This window comes from Homo sapiens, chromosome 10, assembly GCF_000001405.40.
Source record: "Homo sapiens chromosome 10, GRCh38.p14 Primary Assembly".
NCBI classification, from domain to species: domain Eukaryota; kingdom Metazoa; phylum Chordata; class Mammalia; order Primates; family Hominidae; genus Homo; species Homo sapiens.
In genome coordinates this window covers 42,246,821-42,267,309 of record NC_000010.11, presented here as the reverse complement: position 1 = coordinate 42,267,309, position 20,489 = coordinate 42,246,821, and the positions used below count along the sequence as shown (strand labels likewise).

At 38.8% G+C, this 20,489-nt stretch overlaps 1 long non-coding RNA gene across 3 annotated transcripts in view; it reads right to left on the bottom strand.

Annotated features, from left to right (window-relative positions):
* Positions 1–20,489, bottom strand: part of LOC101929373 (uncharacterized) — a 34,331-nt gene that overhangs the window by 9,533 nt on the left and 4,309 nt on the right. For 2 of the 3 annotated variants that reach the window (XR_001747436.2, XR_001747434.2), the window contains exon 2: positions 16,150–16,325. This is a non-coding gene — a long non-coding RNA (uncharacterized LOC101929373). Of the gene's footprint in view, positions 1–16,102; positions 16,326–20,489 lie in introns of all 3 variants that reach the window. The other variant, XR_001747433.2, reaches the window with a different exon arrangement.

The following is a 20,489-nucleotide window of genomic DNA, read 5'->3' as shown; positions in this document are numbered from 1 at the left end:
AAAACAATGAACAAAATGACAATAGTAAGCCCCTCCCTATCAGTAACTACTTTAAATGCAAATAGGCTAATTTTCCAATCAAAAGACAGAGAATTGGCTGAATGGATTAAAAAAATGTAAATATATACTATATGCAAGAGACTTATGTTAGATCTAAACACACACAAAGGTTGAAAGTGAAAGGATGGAAAAAGATATTCAATGCATTTGGTAACCAAAAGAGAACAAGGATGGCCATACTTAGACAAAATAGAGTTTAATTCAAATAATAGCACAACAGACAAGGATATTACATAATAATAAAAGGGCCAATTGACCAAGAAGATATAGCAATTATAAATGTATATGTAACTAACAGTACAGCATCTAAATATATGAAGCTAACATAGACAGAATTGAGGGGTAACATAGATAGCAACATCATAATAACAGAAAACTTCAATATTCCACTTTCAATTATGGATACAATAACCAGACAGAAGATCAACTGGAAAACACAGAACTTGAACAACATTATAGACCAATTGGACCTGTCTGACATATACAGAACACTTCACCCAATAATAGCAAAATACACTTTCTTCTCAAGTACATACCAAGACGATTCCAGGATAGATGACATGCTAGTCCACAAACAAGTTTTTAAAAATTTAAGAAAACTGAACTCATACCAAATATCTTTTCTGACCACATTAAATGAAATTACAAATTCATAGCAGAAGGAAAAAGGAAAAGTAATAAATATGTGGAAATTACAAAAATATACTCTCTTAACCAATTGACCTGTGTGGTTAATATTAATTGACAATTTGATTGAGGGATGCTTAGATGCCTGATGAAGCACTGTGTGTGTGTATATCTGTGAGGGTGCTGCCACAGGAGAATGATGGATGAGTTAGTGGACTGAGAGAGAAAAACCCATCCTCACTGTGGGTAGGCATCATGCAATTGGTTGCAAGTGTGACTAGAACAAAAAGGCAGAAGAATGGGAACATTCAGCTTGCTTGGATTTCTTTTTTATGCACTTTCTCTCTCTTCCAGAGCAGTATGCCTTTTTTTCCTCTTGCCCTTGCACATCAAACTCTAGGTTCTTTGGCCTTTGGACCCTGGGACTTGCATCAGCAGCCTTTTGGGAGCTCTCAGGCCTTGGTCCTCAGACTAGTGGCTGCACTGTCAGCCTCCCTGGTTTTGAGACTTTCAGACTGGGACTGAGCCATGTCACTGGCTTCCTTGGGAGCCATGCTGTAGGCTTCTCTCATTTTCCAGCTTATAGATGGCCTATTGTGGGACTTTGCCTTTGTAATTATGTGAGCCAAATCTCCTTAATAAATTATATTTCATATATATGTAAATATATTCTCTTTTAGATGCATGTGTATATATTTATATCTATATCTATTATCTATATATATATCTATATCATCCATATCTGTATCTATATCTATATTTCCTATTGGATCTGACCCTCTTGAGAACTCTGATTAATACATAGTCAAAGAATAAGTCACAAGGAAAATTAGAAAATGTCTTGAGACAAATAAAAATGGAAACACAACATTCCAAAGCTTGTGGGATGCAGCAAAATGAATATGAAGAGGACAGTTTATATATCTAACTACCTACCTTAAAAAAGAAGAAAGATCTAAAATCAGCAACTTAGCTTTACACCTCAAGAAACTGGAAAAAGAAGAACTCAACCCAATGTTAGCAACAGGAAGGAAATAATAAAGTCTAGAGCAGAAGGCCGGGAGCAGTGGCTCACGACTGTAATCCCAGCACTTTGGGAGGCCGAGGCAGGTGGATCACCTGAAGTCGGGAGTTCGAGACCAGCCTCAGCAACATGGAGAAACGTGTCTCTACTAAAAAATACAAAATTAGCCGGGCATGGTGGTTCATGCCTGTAATCCCAGCTACTCTGGAGGCTGAGGCAGGAGAGTCACTTGAACTGGGAGGTGGAGGTTGCAGCGAGCGGAGATCACGCCATTGCACTACAGCCTGGGCAATAAGAGCAAAACTCCATCTCAAAAAAAAAAAAAAAAAAAAAAGGCTAGAGAATAGAAAAAATCCAATGAAACTAGTAGTTGTTTCAAAGTTCAACAAAATTGACAAATCATTAGCTAGAATATTTAAGAAAAAAAAAGAAGACTCAACTTCTTTTAGGAACAAAAGAGAAGACACTGCAACAGATATTACAGAAATAAAAAGGATTCTAAGAGTCTACTATGAATGATTATATACTGACAAGTTGGATAACCTAGGAGAAATGAACAGATTCCTTGTAACATGCAAGTTACCAAGACTAAGTCACAAAATAAAAAATCTTAATAAACCTATAACTAGTAACTGAATCAGGAATCAAAAACCTCCCAGCAAACCAAATACCTGATAAGGGGTTAATATCTAAAATATATACAGAACAACAACTCAATAACAAAACAACCTAAATGAGAAATGGTCAGTTGACTTTGCTATGGTCCAAATGTTCTCCCAATATTCATATGCTGGAGCCTAATATTCAATGTGATAATATTAAGAGGTGGGGCATTTTGGAGATGATTAGTTCATGAAGTCATAGCTCTCAGAAATGGGACTAGGGCCTTTATAAAAGAGGCTTAAGGGAGTTTGTTTTCCCTTTTGAACATTTGAGGACACAGAGAAGGTGCTATATATAGTGAATATAGTGACCTCACCAGTCACTGAGTCTGTCGTAGCCTAAATCTTGGACTTCTCACACTCCAGAATGCAAGAAATAAATTTCTGTTGTTTATAAATTACCAGCCTAAGGTATTTTGTTATAGCAGCAGGAATGGACTAAGATAGACTTGAATAGACATTTTTTCCAAAAAGAAATACAAATGGCCAACTAGCATATCAACCCAACACTACATGGAAACTGCCAAGGCTTGGGGATTGAACTCTGAAGCAATAGCCTGAGCTGCACATTGGCTCCTTTTAGCCATGGCTGGGACACAGGGCACCAAGTCCCAAGACTGCACAGAGCAGCAAAGTTCTGGGCCTGGCCCACAAAACCATTTTTTCCCTCCTAGGCCTCCAACCCTGTGATGGGAGGGGCTGTCGTGAAGAACTCTGACATGCCCTGGAGACAATTTCCCCATTATCTTGTCAATTAACATTTGGCTCCTTGTTACTTCTGCAAATTTCTGCAGTCAGCTTGAATTTCTCCCCAGAAAATGGGTTTTCTTTTCTATCACATCATCAGGCTGCAAATCTTCCAAACTTTCATGCTCTGCTCCCTTTTAAACATAAGTTCTAATTCCAAACCATATTTTTGTGAACACATAAAACTGAACACTTTTAAGAGCACTCAGGTCATAAATTGAACACTTTGCTGCTTACAAATTTCTTCTACCAGATGTCCTGGATGGATTCCAAGATGGCAAAATAGGAACAGTTCCGGTCTGCAGCTCCCAGCATGATCGACACAGAAGACAGGTGATTTCTGCACTTCCAACTGAGGTACCTGGTTCATCTCATTGGGACTGGTTGGAGAGTGGGTGCAGGCCCACAGAGGGTGAGCTGAAGCAGGGTGGGGTGTCGCCTCACCCGGGAAGCACAAGGGGTTGGGGGATTTCCCTTTCCTAGCCAAGGGAAGCTGTGACAGACTACCTGGAAAAACAGGGCACTCCCGCCCAAATACTGCACTTTTCCCAAGGTCTTAGCAACTAGCAGACAAGGTGATTCTCTCCTGTGCCTGGCTCAGTGGGTCCCACACCCATGGAGCCTTGCTCACTGCTAGCACAACAGTCTGAAATCCATCTGTGAGGTGGCAGCCTGGCTGGGGGAGGGGCGTCCATCATTGCTGAGGCTTAAGTAGGTAAACAAAGTGGCCAGGGAAGCTTGAACTCGGTGGAGCCCACCGCAGCTCAACAAGGCCCATTGCCTCTAGACTCCACGTCTGTGGGCAGGGATAGCTGAACAAAAGGCAGCAACTTCTGCAGACTTAAACGTCCCTGTCTGACAGCTCTGAAGAGAGCAGTGGTTTTCCCAGCATGGCGTTTGAGTTCTGAGAATGGACAGACTGCCTCCTCAAGTGGGTCCCTGACCCCTGTGTAGCCTAACTGGGACACACCTCCCAGTAGGGGCTGACAGACACCTCATATAGGCGGCTGCCCCTCTTGGACAAAGCTTCCAGAGGAAGGATCAGGCAGCAATATTTGCTGTTCTGCAATATTTGCTGTTCTGCAGCCTCCACTGGTGATACCCAGGCAAACAGTGTCTGGAGTGGAACTCCAGCAAACTCCAACAGATCTGCAGCTGAGGGTCCTGACTGTTAGAAGGAAAACTAAAAAACAGAAAGGAATAGTGTCAACATTAACAAAAGATCATCTAACCAAAACCCCATCTGTAGATCAACAATATCAAAGACCAAAGGTAGATAAAACCAAAAGGATGGGGATAAACCAGAGCAGAAAAGCTGAAAATTCTAAAAATCAGAGCACCCCTTCTCCTCCAAAGGATCACAGCTCCTTGTCAGCAATGGAACAAAGCTGGACGTAGAATGACTTTGACGAGTTGACAGAAGTAGGCTTCAGAAGGTTGGTAATAACAAACTTCTCCGAGCTAAAGGAGGATGTTGGAACCCATTGCAAGGAAGCTAAAAACCTTGAAAAAAGATTAGACGAATGGCTTACAAGAATAAACAGTGTAGAGAAGACCTTAAGTGACCCAATGGAGCTGAAAACCATGGCACGAGAACTTTGTGACACATGCACAAGCTTCAATAGCCGATTCAATCAAGTGGAAGAAAGGGTATCAGTGATTGAAGATCAAATAAATGAAATAAAGTGAGAAGACAAGGTTAGAGAAACAAGAGTAAAAAGAAATGAAGAAAGCCTCCAAGAAATATGGGACCATGTGAAAAGACCAAATCTATATTTGATTGGTGTACCGGAAAGTGATAAGGAGAATGGAACCAAGTTGGAAAACAGTCTGCAGGATATTATCCAGGAGAACTTCCCCAACCTAGCAAGGCAGGCCAACATTCAACTTCAGGAAATACAGAGAACAACACAAAGATACTCTCTGAGAAGAGCGATTCCAAGACACATAATTGTCAGATTCACCAAGGTTGAAGTGTAGGAAAAAGTGTTAAGGGCAGCCAGAGAGAAAGGTCAGGTTAGCCACAAAGGGAAGCCCATCAGACTAACAGCTGATCTCTTGGCAGAAACCCTACAATCCAGAAGAGAGTGGGGGCCAATATTCAACATTCTTAAAGAAAATAATTTTCAATCCAGAGTTTCATATCCAGCCAAACTAAGCTTCATAAGTGAAGGAGAAAATAAAATTCTTTACTGACAAGCAAATGCTGAGAGATTTTGTCACCACCAGGCCTGCCTTACAAGAGCTCCTGAAGGAAGCACTAAACATGGAAAGAAACACCCGGTACCAGCCAGTGCAAAAACATGCCAAGTTATAGAGAACATCAATGCTAGGAAGAAACTGCATCAATTAACGGGCAAATAACAGCGAATATCATAATGACAGGATCAAATTCACACATTACAATATTAACTGTAAACATAAATGGGCTAAATGCCCCAATTAAAGGACACAGACTGGCAAATTGGATAAAGAGTCAAGACCCATCAGTGTGCTGTATTCAGGAGACCCATCTCATGCGCAAATTCACACATAGGTTCAACATAAAGGGATGGAGGAAGATCTACCAAGAAAATGGAAAACAAAAAAAGGCAGGGGTTGCAATCCTTGTCTCTGATAAAACAGACTTTAAACCAACAAAGATCAATGGAGACAAAGGCCATTACATAATGGTAAAGGGATCAATGCAACAAGAAGAGCTAACTATCCTAAATATATATGCACCCAATACAAGAGCACCCAGATTCATAAAGCAAGTCCTTAGAGACCTACAAAGAGACTTAGACTCCCACACAATAATAATGGGAGACTTTAACACCGAACTGTCAATATTAGAAAGATCAACAAGGCAGAAGGTTAACAAAGATATCCAGGACCTGAACTCAGCTCTGCAACAAACAGACCCAATAGACATCCACAGAAATCTCCACCTCAAATCAACAGAGTATACATTATTCTCAGCACCACATATCACTTATTCTAAATTTGACCACATAATTGGAAGTAAAGCACTCCTCACCAAATGTAAAAGAACAGAAATCACAACAAACTGTCTCTCAGACCACAGTGCAATCAAATTCGAACTTAGGATTAAGAAGCTCACTCAAAACTGAACAACTACATGGAAACTGAACAATTTGCTCCTGAATGACTACTGGGTAAATAACAAAATGAAGGCAGAAATAAAGATGTTCTTTGAAACCAATGAAAACAAAGACACAATGTACCAGAATCTCTGGGACACATTTAAAGCAGTGTGTAGGGGGAAATTGATAGCACTAAATGCCCAGAAGAGAAAGCAGGAAAGATCTAAAATTGACCCCCTAACATGACAATTAAAAGAACTAGAGAAGCAAGAGCAAACACATTCAAAAGCTGGCAGAAGGAAAAAATAAGATCAGAGCAGAGCTGAAGGAGACAGAGACACAAAATCCCTTCAAAAAAGCAATGAATCCAGGAGCTGGTTTTTTGAAAAGATCAACAAAATTGATAGACTGCTAGCAAGACTAATAAAGAAGGAAAGAGAGAGGAATCAAATAGATGCAATAAAAATGATAAAGGGGATATCACCACTGAGCCCAGGGAAGTAAAAACTACCATCAGAGAATACTATAAACACCTATACACAAATAAACTTGAACATCTAGAAGAAATGGATAAATTCTGGGACACATACACCCTTGCAAGACTAAACCAGGAAGAAGTTGAATATCTGAATAGACCAATAACAGGCTCTGAACTTGAGGCAATAATTAATAGCCTACCAACCAAAAAAAAGTCCAGGACCAGATGGATTCACAGCTGAGTTCTACCAGAGGTACAAAGAGGAGCTGGTACCAGTCTTTCTGAAACTTTTCCAATCAATAGAAAAAGATAGAATCCTCCCTAATTCATTTAATGAGGCCAACATCATCCTGATACCAAAGCCTGACAGAGACACACCAACAACAAAAAAGAGAATTTTAGACCAATATCCCTGATGAACATTGATGCAAATATCCTCAATAAGATACTAACAAACTGAATCCAGCAGCACATCAAAAAGCTTATCCACCATGATCAAGTTGGCATCCCTAGGATGCAAGACTGGTTCAACATACGCAAATCAATAAACGTAATACATCCTATAAACAGAACCAAAGACAAAAACCACATGATTATCTTAATAGATGCAGAAAAGACCTTTGACAAAATTCAACAGCCCTTCATGCTAAGAACTCTCAATAAACGAGGTACTGATGGGACGTATCTCAAAATAATGAGAGCTATTTATGACAAACACACAGCCAATATCATACTGAATGGACAATAACTGGAAGCATTCCCTTTGAAACCTGGCACAAGACAACGATTCTCTCTCTCACCACTCCTATTCAAAATAGTCTTGGAAGTTCTGGCCAGGGAAATCAGGCAAGAGAATGAAATAAAGGGTATTCAGTTAGGAAAAGAGGAAGTCAAATTGTCCCTGTCTGAAGATGACATGACTGTATATTCACAAAACCCCATCATCTCAGCTCAAAATCTCCTTAAGCTGATAAGCAACTTCAGCAAAGTCTCTGGATACAAAATCAATGTGCAAAAATCACAAGCATTCCTATACACCAATAACAGACAAACAGAGAGCCAAATCATGAGTGAACTTCCATTCACAATTGCTTCAAAGAGAATAAAATACCTAGGAATCCAACTTACAAGGGACGTGAAGGGCCTCTTCAAGGAGAACTACAAATCGCTGCTCAACAAAATAAAAGAGGACACAAACAAATGGAAGAACATTCCATGCTCATGGATAGGAAGAATCAATATCGTGAAAATGGCCATACAGCCAAAGATAATTTATAGATTCAATGCCATCCCCATCAAGCTACAAATGACTTTCTTCACAGAATTGGAAAAAACAACTTTAAAGTTCATATGGAACCAAAAAAGAACCTGCATTGCCAAGTCAATCCTAAGCAAAAAGAACAAATCTGGAGGCATCACACTACCTGACTTCAAACTACACTACAAGGCTACAGTAACCAAAACAGCATGGTACTGGTGCCAAAACAGAGATACAGACCAATGGAACAGAATAGAGCCCTCAGAAATAATACCACACATCTACAACCATCTGATCTTTGACAAACCTGACATAAACAAGAAATGGGGAAAGGATTCCCTATTTAATAAATGGTGCTGGGAGAACTGGCTAGCCATATGTGGAAAGCTGAAACTAGATCCCTTCCTTACAACTTATATAAAAATTAATTCAAGATGGATTAAAGACTTAAATGTTAGACCTAAAACCATAAAAATCCTAGAAGAATACCTAGACAATACCATTCAGGACATAGGCATGGGCAAGGAATTCATGACTAAAACACCAATAGCAATGGCAACAAAAGCCAAAATTGACAAATGAGATCCAATTAAATTCAAGAGCTTCTGCATAGCAAAAGAAACTACCATCAGAGTGAACAGACAACCTACAGAATGGGAGAAAATTTTTACAATCTACCCATCTGACAAAGGGCTAATATCCAGAATCTACAAAGAACTTAAACAAATTTATATGAAAAAATCAAACTACCCCATCAAAAAGTGGGCAAAGGGTATGAACAGACACTTCTCAAAAGAAGACATCTATGAAGCCAACAGACACTGGAAAAATGCTCATCATCACTGGCCATCAGAGAAATGCAAATCAAAACCACAATGAGATACCATCTCACACCAATTAGAATGGCGATCATTAAAAAGTCAGGAAACAACATGTGCTGGAGAGGATATGGAGAAATAGGAAGGCTTTTACACTGTTGGTGGGAGTGTAAACTAGTTCAATCATTGTAGAAGACAGTGTGGCAATTCCTCAAAGATCTAGAACTAGAAATACCATTTCACCCAGCCATCCCATTACTGGGCATATACCCAAAGGATTGTGAATCGTGCTGCTATAAAGACACATGCACACGTATGTTTATTGCGGCACTATTCACAATAGCAAAGACTTGGAACCAACCTAAATGTCCATCAATGATAGACTGGATTAAGAAAATGCGGCACATATACACCATGGAATACTATGCAGCCATAAAAAGGATGAGTTCATGTCCTTTGTAAGGACATGGATGAAGCTAGAAACCATCATTCTGAGAAAACTATCACAAGGACAGAAAACTAAACACCACATGTTCTCACTCATAGGTGGGAATTGAACAATGAGAACACTTGGACACAGGGTGGGGAACATCACACACTGGGGCCTGTCATGGAGTGGGGGGAGGGGGGATAGCATTAGGAGATATATCTAATGTAAATGACTAGTTAATGGGTGCAGCACACCAACATGACACATGTATACATATGTAACAAACCAGCACATTGTGCACATGTACCCTAGAACTTAAAGTATAATAATAGAAAAACTATGACACTCTCCTACATACCATATCTGTAGAAAAATTATAAATTTTAGATAACCATCCAGAGATATTTCTCTAATTCTTGGAAAACATATCAACATTGAAAACATCAAAAAAATTAAACAGTTCTTTTTTCATCCAAAAAAAAAGAACAATAGGGAATCCTCCCTAACTCATTTTATGAGGCCAACATCATCCTGGTACCAAAGCCTGGCAGAGACACAACAAAAAAAGAGAATTTTAGACCAATATCCTTGATGAACATCGATGCAAAAATCCTCAATAAAATATTGGCAAACCAAATCCAGCAGCACATCAAAAAGCTTATCCACCACGATCAAGTGGGCTTCATCCCTGGGATGCAAGGCTGGTTCAACATATGCAAATCAATAAACGTAATCCATTACATAAACAGAACCAAAGACAAAAACCACATGATTATCTCAAGAGATGCAGAAAAGACCTTTGACAAAATTCAACACTCCTTCATGCTAACAACTCTCAATAAACTAGATACTGATGGGACGTATCTCAAAATAATAAGAGCTATTTATGACAAACCCACAGCCAATATCATACTGAATGGGCAAAAACTGGAAGCATTCCTTTTGAAAACCGGCACAAGACAAGGATGCCCTCTCTCACCACTCTTATTCAACATGGTGTTGGAAGTTCTGACCAGTGGAATCAGGCAGGAGAAAGAAATAAATGGTATTCAGTTAGGAAAAGATGAAGTCAAATTGTCCCTGTTTGCAGATGACATGATTGTATATTTAGAAAACCCCATCATCTCAGCCCAAAATCTCCTTAAGCTGATAAGCAACTTCAGCAAACTCTCAGGATACAAAATTAATGTGCAAAAATCACAAGCATTCCTATACACCATTAATAGACAGAGAGCCAAATCATGAGTGAACTCCCATTCACAATTGCTACAAAGAGAATAAAATACCTAGGAATCTGACTTACAAGGGTTGTGAAGGACCTCTTCAAGGAGAACTACAAACCACTGCTCAACGAATTAAAAGAGGACACAAACAAATGGAAGAATATTCCACGCTCATGGATAGGAAGAATCAATATCATGAAAATGGACATACGGCACAAAGTAATTTATAGATTCAATACCATCCCCATCAAGCTACTAATAAATTTCTTCACAGAATTGGAAAAAACTACTTTAAAGTTCATATGGAACCAAAAAAGAGCCTGCATTGCCAAGACAATCCTAAGCAAAAAGAACAAATCTGGAGGCATCACACTACCTGACTTCAAACTATACTACAAGGCTACAGTAACCAAAACAGCATGGTACTGGTGCCAAAACAGATATATAGACCAATGGAACAGAACAGAGGCCTCAGAAATAAGACCACACATCTACAGCCATCTGATCTTTGACAAACCTGACAAAAACAAGAAATGGGGAAAGGACTGCCTATTTAATAAATGACGCTGGGAAAACTGGCTAGCTATATGTAGAAAGCTGAAACTGGATCCCTTCCTTACATCTTATACAAAAATTAATTCAAGGTGGATTAAAGACTTAAATGTTAGACCTAAAACCATAAAAACCCTAGAAGAAAACCTAGGCAATACCATTCAGGCCATAGGCATGAGCAAGGACTTCATGACTAAAACACCAAAAGCAATGGCAACGAAAGCCAAAATTGACAAATGGGATCTAATTAAACTAAAGAGCTTCTGCACGGCAAAAGAAACTGCCATCAGAGTGAACCAGGCAACATACAGAATGGGAGATAAATTGCAATCTACCCATTTGACAAAGAAAGAATTCAAACAAATTTACAAGAAAAAAACAACCCCATCAAAAAGTGGGCAAAGATATGAATAGACACTTCTCCAAAGAAGACATCTATGCAGCTAACAGACACAAGAAAAAAAGCTCACCATCACTGGTCATCAGAGAAATGCAAATCAAAACCACAATGAGATACCATCTCACCCCAGTTAGAATGGCATTCATTAAAAAGTCAGGAAACAACAGGTGCTGGAGAGGATATGGAGAAATAGGAACGCTTTTACACTGTTGGTGGGAGTGTAAACTAGTTCAACCATTGTGAAAGACATTGTGGTGATTCCTCGAGGATCTAGAACTAGAATTACCATTTGACCCAGCAATCCCATTACTGGGTATATACCCAAAGGATTATAAATCATGCTACTATAAAGACACATGCACATGTATGTTTATTGCGGCACTATTAACAATAGCAAACACTTGGAACCAACCCAAATGTCCAACAATGATAGACTGGATTAAGAAAATGTGGCACATATACACCATGGAATACTATGCAGCCATAAAAAAGGATGAGTTCATGTCCTTTGCAGGGAGATAAATGAAGCTGGAAACCATCATTCTCAGCAAAACTATCACAAGGACAGAAAACCAAACACCACATGTTCTCACTTATAGATGGGAATTGAACAATGAGATCACTTGGACACAGGGCTGGGAACATCACACACTGGGGCTTGTTGGGGGGTGGAGGGCTGGGGGAGGGAGAGCATTAGGAGAAATACCTAATGTAAATGATGAGTTGATGGGTGCAGCAAACCAACATGGCACATGTATACCTATGTATCAAACCTGCACGTTGTGCATATGTACCCTAGAACTTAAGGTATAACAACAACAACAACAACAAACGTTTCTTCTACCAGATGTCCTCAGTCATCTCTCTCAATTTCAAAGTTCCATAAATCTGTAGGGCAGGGGCAAAATGCCACCAGTCTCTTTGCTAAAGCATAGCAAGAGTGACCTTTATTTCAGTTCCCAACAAGTTGTTCATCTCCATCTCGGACCTCCTCAGCCTGGACTTCACTGTCCAAGTCACTATCAGCAGTTTGGTCAAAGCCATTCAACAAGTCTCTAGGCAGTTCCAAACTTTCCCACATCTTCTGGTCTTCTTCTGAGTCCTCCCAACTGTTCCAAACTCTGCACATTACACAGTTCCAAAGTCACTTCCACATTCTCAGGTATCTTATAGCAATATTCCATTACCTCAGTATCAGAATCTGTATTAGTCATGGTTCTCTAGAGGGATAGAACTAATAGGATATATATATATATATATATATATATATATATATATATATATATATATATATATATATATATGAAAGGGAGTTTATTAAGGAGAATTGATTCACACCATCACAATTGAAGTCCTACAACAGGCCGTCTGCAAGTTGAGGAGCAAGGAATCTAATATTGGCTCAGTCCGAGTCCCAACACCTCAAAAGTAGGGAAACCGACAGGCCAGCTTTGAGTCTCTGGATGAAGGCCTGAGAGCCCCTGGAAAACAACTGGAGTAAGTCCAAGAGTCCAAAAGCCAAAGAACCTGGAGTCTGACATTTGAGTGCAGGAAGCATCCAGCATGGGAGAAAGATGAGGGCAGAAGGCTCAGCAAGTCAGCTTCTACTAACCTCCTTCTGCCTGCTTTATTCTAGCCATGCTGGCAGCTGATTGTATGGTGCCCACCCACATTGAGGGTGGATCTGCCTTTCCCAGTCCACTAAATAAATGTTAATCTCCTTTGACAACACCCTCACAGAAACAACCGGGAACAATACTTTGGATCCTTCAATCCAATCAAGTTGACACCTTACTGAATATTAACCTTCACAATGTAATATTCATCCCATTTGTAATTTTTCTTTAATATACAAGCTCCTTGAGAACATGCACCATTTGATCTTGTCTCTCTGTTGTGTTGGGAGGCAGTGGAGAAGAGAAGAGTTAAATGTGTGGGTATGGAGTGAAAGACTGTCAGATTTGCATCTCGGCTCCCCTACTTATTGGATCTCTGTCCTGGAGAAAATTACTTAACATCTTTCTCAGTTTCCTTACCTGTAAATGAGTGGTGACATATATGGAACTTAGAACAAGAGCCAAGTAAGTATTCAATAAAAGCTAATGTTGTTGCCTACTGTTTATTCTCAGTGTTTGGCATAGTAGCCGGCAAAAGGAAGAGGAATTTTTTTTTTTCTTTTTTTCAGACAGTCTCCCTCTGTCACCCAGGCTGGAGTGCAGTGGTGTGATCTTGGCTCACTGCAACCTCTGCTTCTTGGGTTCAAGTGATTCTTGTGCCTCAGCCCCCTGAGTAGCTGGGATTACAGGCCTGTGCCACCACACCCAGCTAACGTTTTGTATTTTTAGTAGAGATGGAGCTTTGCTATGTTGGCCAGGCTGGTCTTGAACTCATGTCCTCAAGTGATCCCCCCGCTTTGGCCTCCCAAAGTGTTGGGATTATAGGCGTGAGCCATTGGGCCCAGCCTGGAAATATTTTTTTGAAACATGACTGATAAGAATATTTTTTGAAAGAATGACAGATACCAATCATGAAGGAAAAGATTTTCACAATTGACAATAAAAAACTTTAACTTCTGAATGGTAAAAAGAGTGAGAAAATTAAAAGCCAAATTACAAATTGAAAAAACTAAAGTATATAAAACAAAGGTTTTCATTCTCAATTTAATGCAGAATCTTGACAAATCAAAAAGAACAAAAGGTGAACCCACCTAAAAGAAATAGGCAAAAAACTTTCAAGAAAAGCAATTTACAAAATGCCAATGACTAATAAACATGGATATTTAACAACACTAGTATTCAAAGTACTTCATTTATAGAGATCCCTCCTTCACCTATCAAATTAGCAAAGATGAAAAAGGCTAGTAATACCAAGTTTTGAAGAGAGGTGAGAGGAAATGACAAGTTTATGTACCCTGGTAGGACATGATATTGTGGCAATATGTTTCAGAACACTCATAAATGTATATACCTTTTAGATCAACAATTACACTTTTAAGCTTAAGAAAATATGAAGATTAGGTACAAATATTTCCCTATATGTTCTACTAAGTATTATTTTTTTAATTAAAAAAATTTTTTTGAGACAGAGTCTCGCTCTGTTGCCCAGGCTGGATAGCTCACTACAGCCTCCGCCTCCTGGGTTCAAGTTATTCTTCTGCTTCAGCCTCCTGAGTAGCTGGGATTACAGATGCCCACCACCATGCCCGGCTAAGTTTTGTATTTTTAGTGGAGACGGGGTTTCACCATGTTCGTTGGCCAGGCTGGTCTTGAACTCCTGACCTCAAGTGATCCACCCTTCTTGGCCTCCCAAAGTGCTGGGATTATAGGTGTGAGCCACCATGCCCGGCCAATTTTTTAATTTAAAAATATATTTTTATAGCAGCACAACTAAGTATTATTTTAATAGTAAATATTGGAGTTAACTTTAATTTTGAACAGGATAAGTAATCATGATGCAGCGCATTGAATACTCTTTCATTAAGCTAAACAACTATTAAAAATGATATACAAATACATTTACTGAAAAGAAACATGTTTGTGATATACAGTTAAGTGTAAAACAATTCAGGTTATAAGAACATATTAGGCCGGGTGCGATGGCTCACGCCTGTAATCCCAGCACTTTGGGAGGCCGAGGCAGGCGGATCACGAGGTCAGGAGATCAAGACCTTCCTGGCTAACACGGTGAAACGCTGGCTCTACTAAAAATACAAAAAAAAATTAGCCAGGCGCGGTGGCGGGCGCCTGTAGTCCCAACTACTTGGGAGGTTGAGGCAGGAGAATGGCATGAACCCGGGAGGCAGAGCATGCAGTGAGCCGAGATTGTGCCACTGCACTCCAACCTGGGTGACAGAGCAAGACTCCGCCTCAAAAAAAAAAAAAAATAAAAGAACATATTGGTCAATATTCACTGATTTTTATAAGAATATTTGACAGAGAGAGAGGGGTAAGGGAAGGGAAGGGGGAGGAGAGGGGAAGGGAAGGGAAGGGAAGAAGGGAAAAAGGGAAGGGAAGGGAATATGGGTGGATTTATATCAAAAGGTTCAGAAGGAAATGATTCTTTTCTTCTGGATGTGACTATTGCAGATTTTATTTTTAACTTTTCCTCTTTTTCTGATTTATTTATATTTTCTTATTTTAAGAGAAACTATAAAAGTATATATATTACTTTTCAACTTAAAAATAGTTTAGCATTTCAATAATACAGAAGACTCAAACATTGCAGATAATTAAAGCATTATTAAATGTGGAAATGTTTAGTTTCACAATTTCTGTAGTGATATTCAAGACCAGATATCACCTTGGGAATCAGAACTGGTGCAGGATCTTGTCCTAACACTACCAAAAAGGCATATGGCTGTCCCAGCTCTGTATGTTTATGTTGTCTTATAATAGAGCAACCAGTTGTTTATTAGGATGGCCAAAAAGGCACATTTCAAAAATGCCTATTAAAATATTAGTAGTACAAATAATATTGCTGTTTAATTTTTTCCAATGAGAACTGATAAAATTCAAAAGCAACAGAAGCAGTTAAATAGTAATAATATGGTTTATCAAATTAATTGTCACATGATTATTAAAGTGAGATCATGTGTGTTAAGTAGTTGTATCTTAAGCCACTGAAATATCTTCCTTGGTCTGGAATGAGCTTTCTATGGAGATTAAAAAGATGTTAAATTGAACAGTCTTGGTTAATACATGAAGAAGCAAAGCCAGAAACCCTGTTTAAAGAACTCACAAAAAAGGTCATGAATGATCTGGTGGTTGTTATATTTTCTTGTTTACCCGAGGAGAAGACTATGCTCAAGCATGTATTGAATCCAGTGATAGCCAGAATGTCATCCATACTGCTAGCAGCCATTAGTAATGTTGGAATGTCTTCCTCAACACCATATCCATTTTCTTGCAACACCATCGTGTAAAGGACAACAACAACAGGAGAGACAGCACCTAAAACAAAACTGAAAGAAAGAATGAAAATTAATTTAAAAGCATCTTTTTAATCAAGTAGTGTTTTATAAGTACAAGTAGTTTATAATAAATTTGTAACAAACATTGTTTAGAAGAATTTCAAATTTGAGTGAATGCAATTTAATGGTGATAAAACTTTTCATGCATTGTTTACTGCTAGCTAAAATTTTATACAGACGTGGTTTAAAATGTTGGGCTGAGCACAGGTTGCAGCCTCTCCCTCTATTCCTAAATCCTTTGAAATGAAGATGTAAAGTTAATAGAAAAATTCATAACCTAACAAGAAAGCAAAAGGTGAATCATCAATGGACAAGAAACTAAGCATATGCCAGAAAGATAAGAGACAGACAATTTAGGATTGAAAAAAGGAAACCATAAACAAAAATGTGTGTAAATAAGATTGCCTCAAAAGATACATGTGCTTCTAAAAGTGGTCCAAGCCCTGAAATGACAGACGCTGGGAGCAGGAGAGACCTCTGGGGAAACCAAATAGTTGATTATTTGGATTACCACTGTAAGAATGATCAGACAAATCTACCTTCCACACATTTCCTACCTCTTGAGTAAATAAGTAAGTAAGGAAGGAAGGAACAGAGTTGTCTGCCCAAAAAAAACAAGTGTGGCCACCTAAGTTACAAAGGCAAATGAGAACATTTCTGGAGTGGTTGATGACACCCATGAGGAATGGGGAGGCTCCTGCTCAGAATACCTTCTATTGGCATATCTTATCCAGAATTTCACCTCATCTCTTCTACATTTACTTTATAAAGCGTGAAGTATATCCTGTGTAGAAATGCTTTTGGTGCTCCTGCCAGAATCCATTTACCAGGTCAATGAACACATCTCCCAGTGCTGCTTGTTGGCTGCTAATATCTGCAGGTTTCTAGAACCCTTGTCCTGCTGACAAGCACCTACCTGGGAATACTAGGGAGGTTGTGCACCCCTCTACTTTCCCTCCAGACAGATCTGCCAATGACGGACTGATGTGAGATTTGCTTCTGGCTGTACAACTCTATGGTGCAGTTTATGCTACAGATTTCCCTGTGGGCTCAAGAAGAGACTAGACTTCTCTAAGACCACATACTGGTCTAGTTTAGTGGTTCCTGAACTCTGCTGCACATTGTAATCACCTGTTGTATTATTTTTCTCATTTTGCTTAACAAGTCATCCCCAAACATAGCAGCTTAAAACAACAAATATTTATTGTCTTATGACTTCTGTGGGTCAGGAATCTGGGCATGGCTTAGCTGTATGCCTCGACTTAAGATTTCCCATGAGGTAGGGTGGGGTGGAGAAGATCTGCTTCCAAGTTTACTCATGTAGCCATTGCAGGCTTCAGTTTTTTTCCAACGGGGTTTTCTCCACAGGGCTGCCTCAGGACATGGCAGCTGGCTTCCCCAGGAATAAGTGATCAAAGAGAATTTAATCCACAACATCAATTAAAAAAACAAAGTATCTAAGAACAAAACTGTGAAGACAGTCTATACTTTTATAAAAATTGTGAATCTAATAATATAGTAATTAAGATAATACCTGAATACTTAGAGAGACATTTCACAAGTGTGAACTAAAAAGCCCCAATTTTACCATCACCCAACACCACGCCTGGCTAGTTTTCGTGTTTTTAGTAGATACGGTGTTTCACCATTTTGGCCAGGCTGGTCTTGAACTCCTGACCTCAAGTGATATGCCTGCCTTGGCCTCCCAAAGTGCTGGGATTATAGGTGTGAGCCACCACGCCCGGCCAAAGCCTCAATAATAGAAAGATGTAATCTCTCCCCCAAATGAATTAATCAGAGATACGCCAATCAAAATCTTTGCAGGGATTTTTACTGAGCTTGACAAGCTGATTATAAAATTCATTTGGAAGAATAAGATCTTAGAATGAAAGATCAAGTAAACTTAAGAAAACAAGATACTGTTTTTGTAAAGGTAAAATAGTTAAAACTGAATAATAGTGACATATAAATAGACAAAATAAATTGGAAGAAAAGAGAATACAAAGTGTGGAAACAAATCTATGGGATTTGTTACATCATACAACTGGTATTTTAAATCAGTGGGAGAAAGAAAGAAATCTTTCACAAATGGTGTTGAGATAACTATTTATGTGGAAAGGAATATAGATAGATTCTTACACATAATAAATGTTAAAAGCTCAAAAGGAAAAGTAGTAATAAGAAAATGTAGTGGGCTAGGCATGATGGCTCACACCTGTAATCCCAGCACTTTGGGAGGCTGAGGTGGACAGATCAGGAATCTGAGACCAGCCTGGCCAACATGGCGAAACCAATAGCTGGGTGCAGTGGTGCATTCCTGTAGTCCCAGCTACTTGGGAGGTTGAGGCAGGAGAATCACTTGAACCTGGGAGGTGGAGGTTGCAGTGAGCTGAGATCATGCCACTGCACTACAGCCTGGGTGACAGCAAGACTCTGAACAACAAAATAAAGATGTAGAATAATATATTTGTGATCATGAGGTAAAAAGGACTTTTTGAATGATACATACAAAGGCATTAGACATAAAAAGAGATTTTGATACATTCAATTATATTAAAGTAGCACTTCAAAAGTAACTTCAAAAGTACTATAATAAAGTACTACTTCAAAAGCAATTCTGCTCTTTCTTCCTCTTTTTCTCTTTTTCATTTTCAAAGTCAAGTGAACAGTGTTGTGTATTGGCAATTCTGTCTGTTGAAAATAACAAAATACACTTCTTAGAGTGAAAAAAAATCATCACAAACAAAATTAAATATCTACTGATATTTGCAATACATATAATTTACAAATGCATATAACAGATATAATTAATAAAGAAGACCAACTCAACAAAAAAATGGACAAAGGATATGAACAGGCTAGTTACAGATAAGGAAAAGCTGAAGGACAACACATATATAAAAGATATTCAAGCTTGTGAATAATCACAGAAATGCAAATTAAAATAACAAAAATATGCCATTTTTTCAATTATCAGACTGGAAAACATTATAAAATTTAATAATATCAAGGATTTGCAAGGATTTTCAAGAACAACAGGTAGGCTCATAAGCTGTTGGTATTAGGGCAAATTAAAGTGGCCATACCGAAAGGATTTTGGCAGTATACATCAAACTAAAAATGCATGTAACCCAGGTAACTATTCTAGACAAACTTATATTTATGTAAAATGAGACAAATAAAATGTTATTTTTGTTATAACGTTGTAAATAAAATCTGCTGTTGACATACAATGTAATCTTATACAATTAAAAGGAATTAACTACATGTGTATCTATCTTGAGATGGATAAACCTCAAGACTATTGTTGAGTGAAAAGAACAAATTGTAAAGTAAAATTTTCTTGGGTATGATTAAGTAAAAATGCACAAAATAATACTCTTTTTTTCTCTGGGTTCACAAATACATTTGTTAGAAGTCCAAAATATTATTTTTAAAGATCTAGAATGATAACATAAAACTCATGAAGATGCTGCCACTCTGTCTCCAGCAGCACATGAGTGCACCCCACAGCACCATTGCCCCGGCTGGCACGTGCAAGTATGCAGAACACCCCCATCCCACTCCTGCTGGCACTGCACCCCTGCCAACACATGCATACCTGCTGTGTGCTGCTGCTGCTGGCACATATGTGTGAGTGGGGACCTTGTTACAATCACTACAATGAAGCACTTTGGCTGGCACACCCCATCAGAGTGTTGTTGCCAGTGAACTGGGAACACCTCAGTGCTTAACATTGAAGGGCCAGACAACAAATCTGTAGGTATGGTACCAGCCTTGCAAAGTTAGAAAGTGCAGTTCAGGAGTGCTGAGCTGAGCCTTTGCCCCCTGAAATCTTCCAGAAATGAAGCCATTTGACTGAAACTACCTTGTGCCACAGTCAAACCCTCAAGGGCATTAAAGAATATAAAAAAGGAAAAAACTCCATCCAAAGGACAGTGATTCAAAACATTAAAGGAACCTTAGCCCACACAGATGTGAAAGAACTAGTGCAAGAACTCTGGCAATGTAAAAAGCCAGAATGTCTTCCTGTCTTCAAGCAATCATACTAACTCTCCAACAATGGTTGTTAAGCAAGATTAAATGACAGACATAGAATTCAGAATCTGGATAGAAACAAAGATCATTGAGATTCAGAAGAAAGTCAAAATCCAA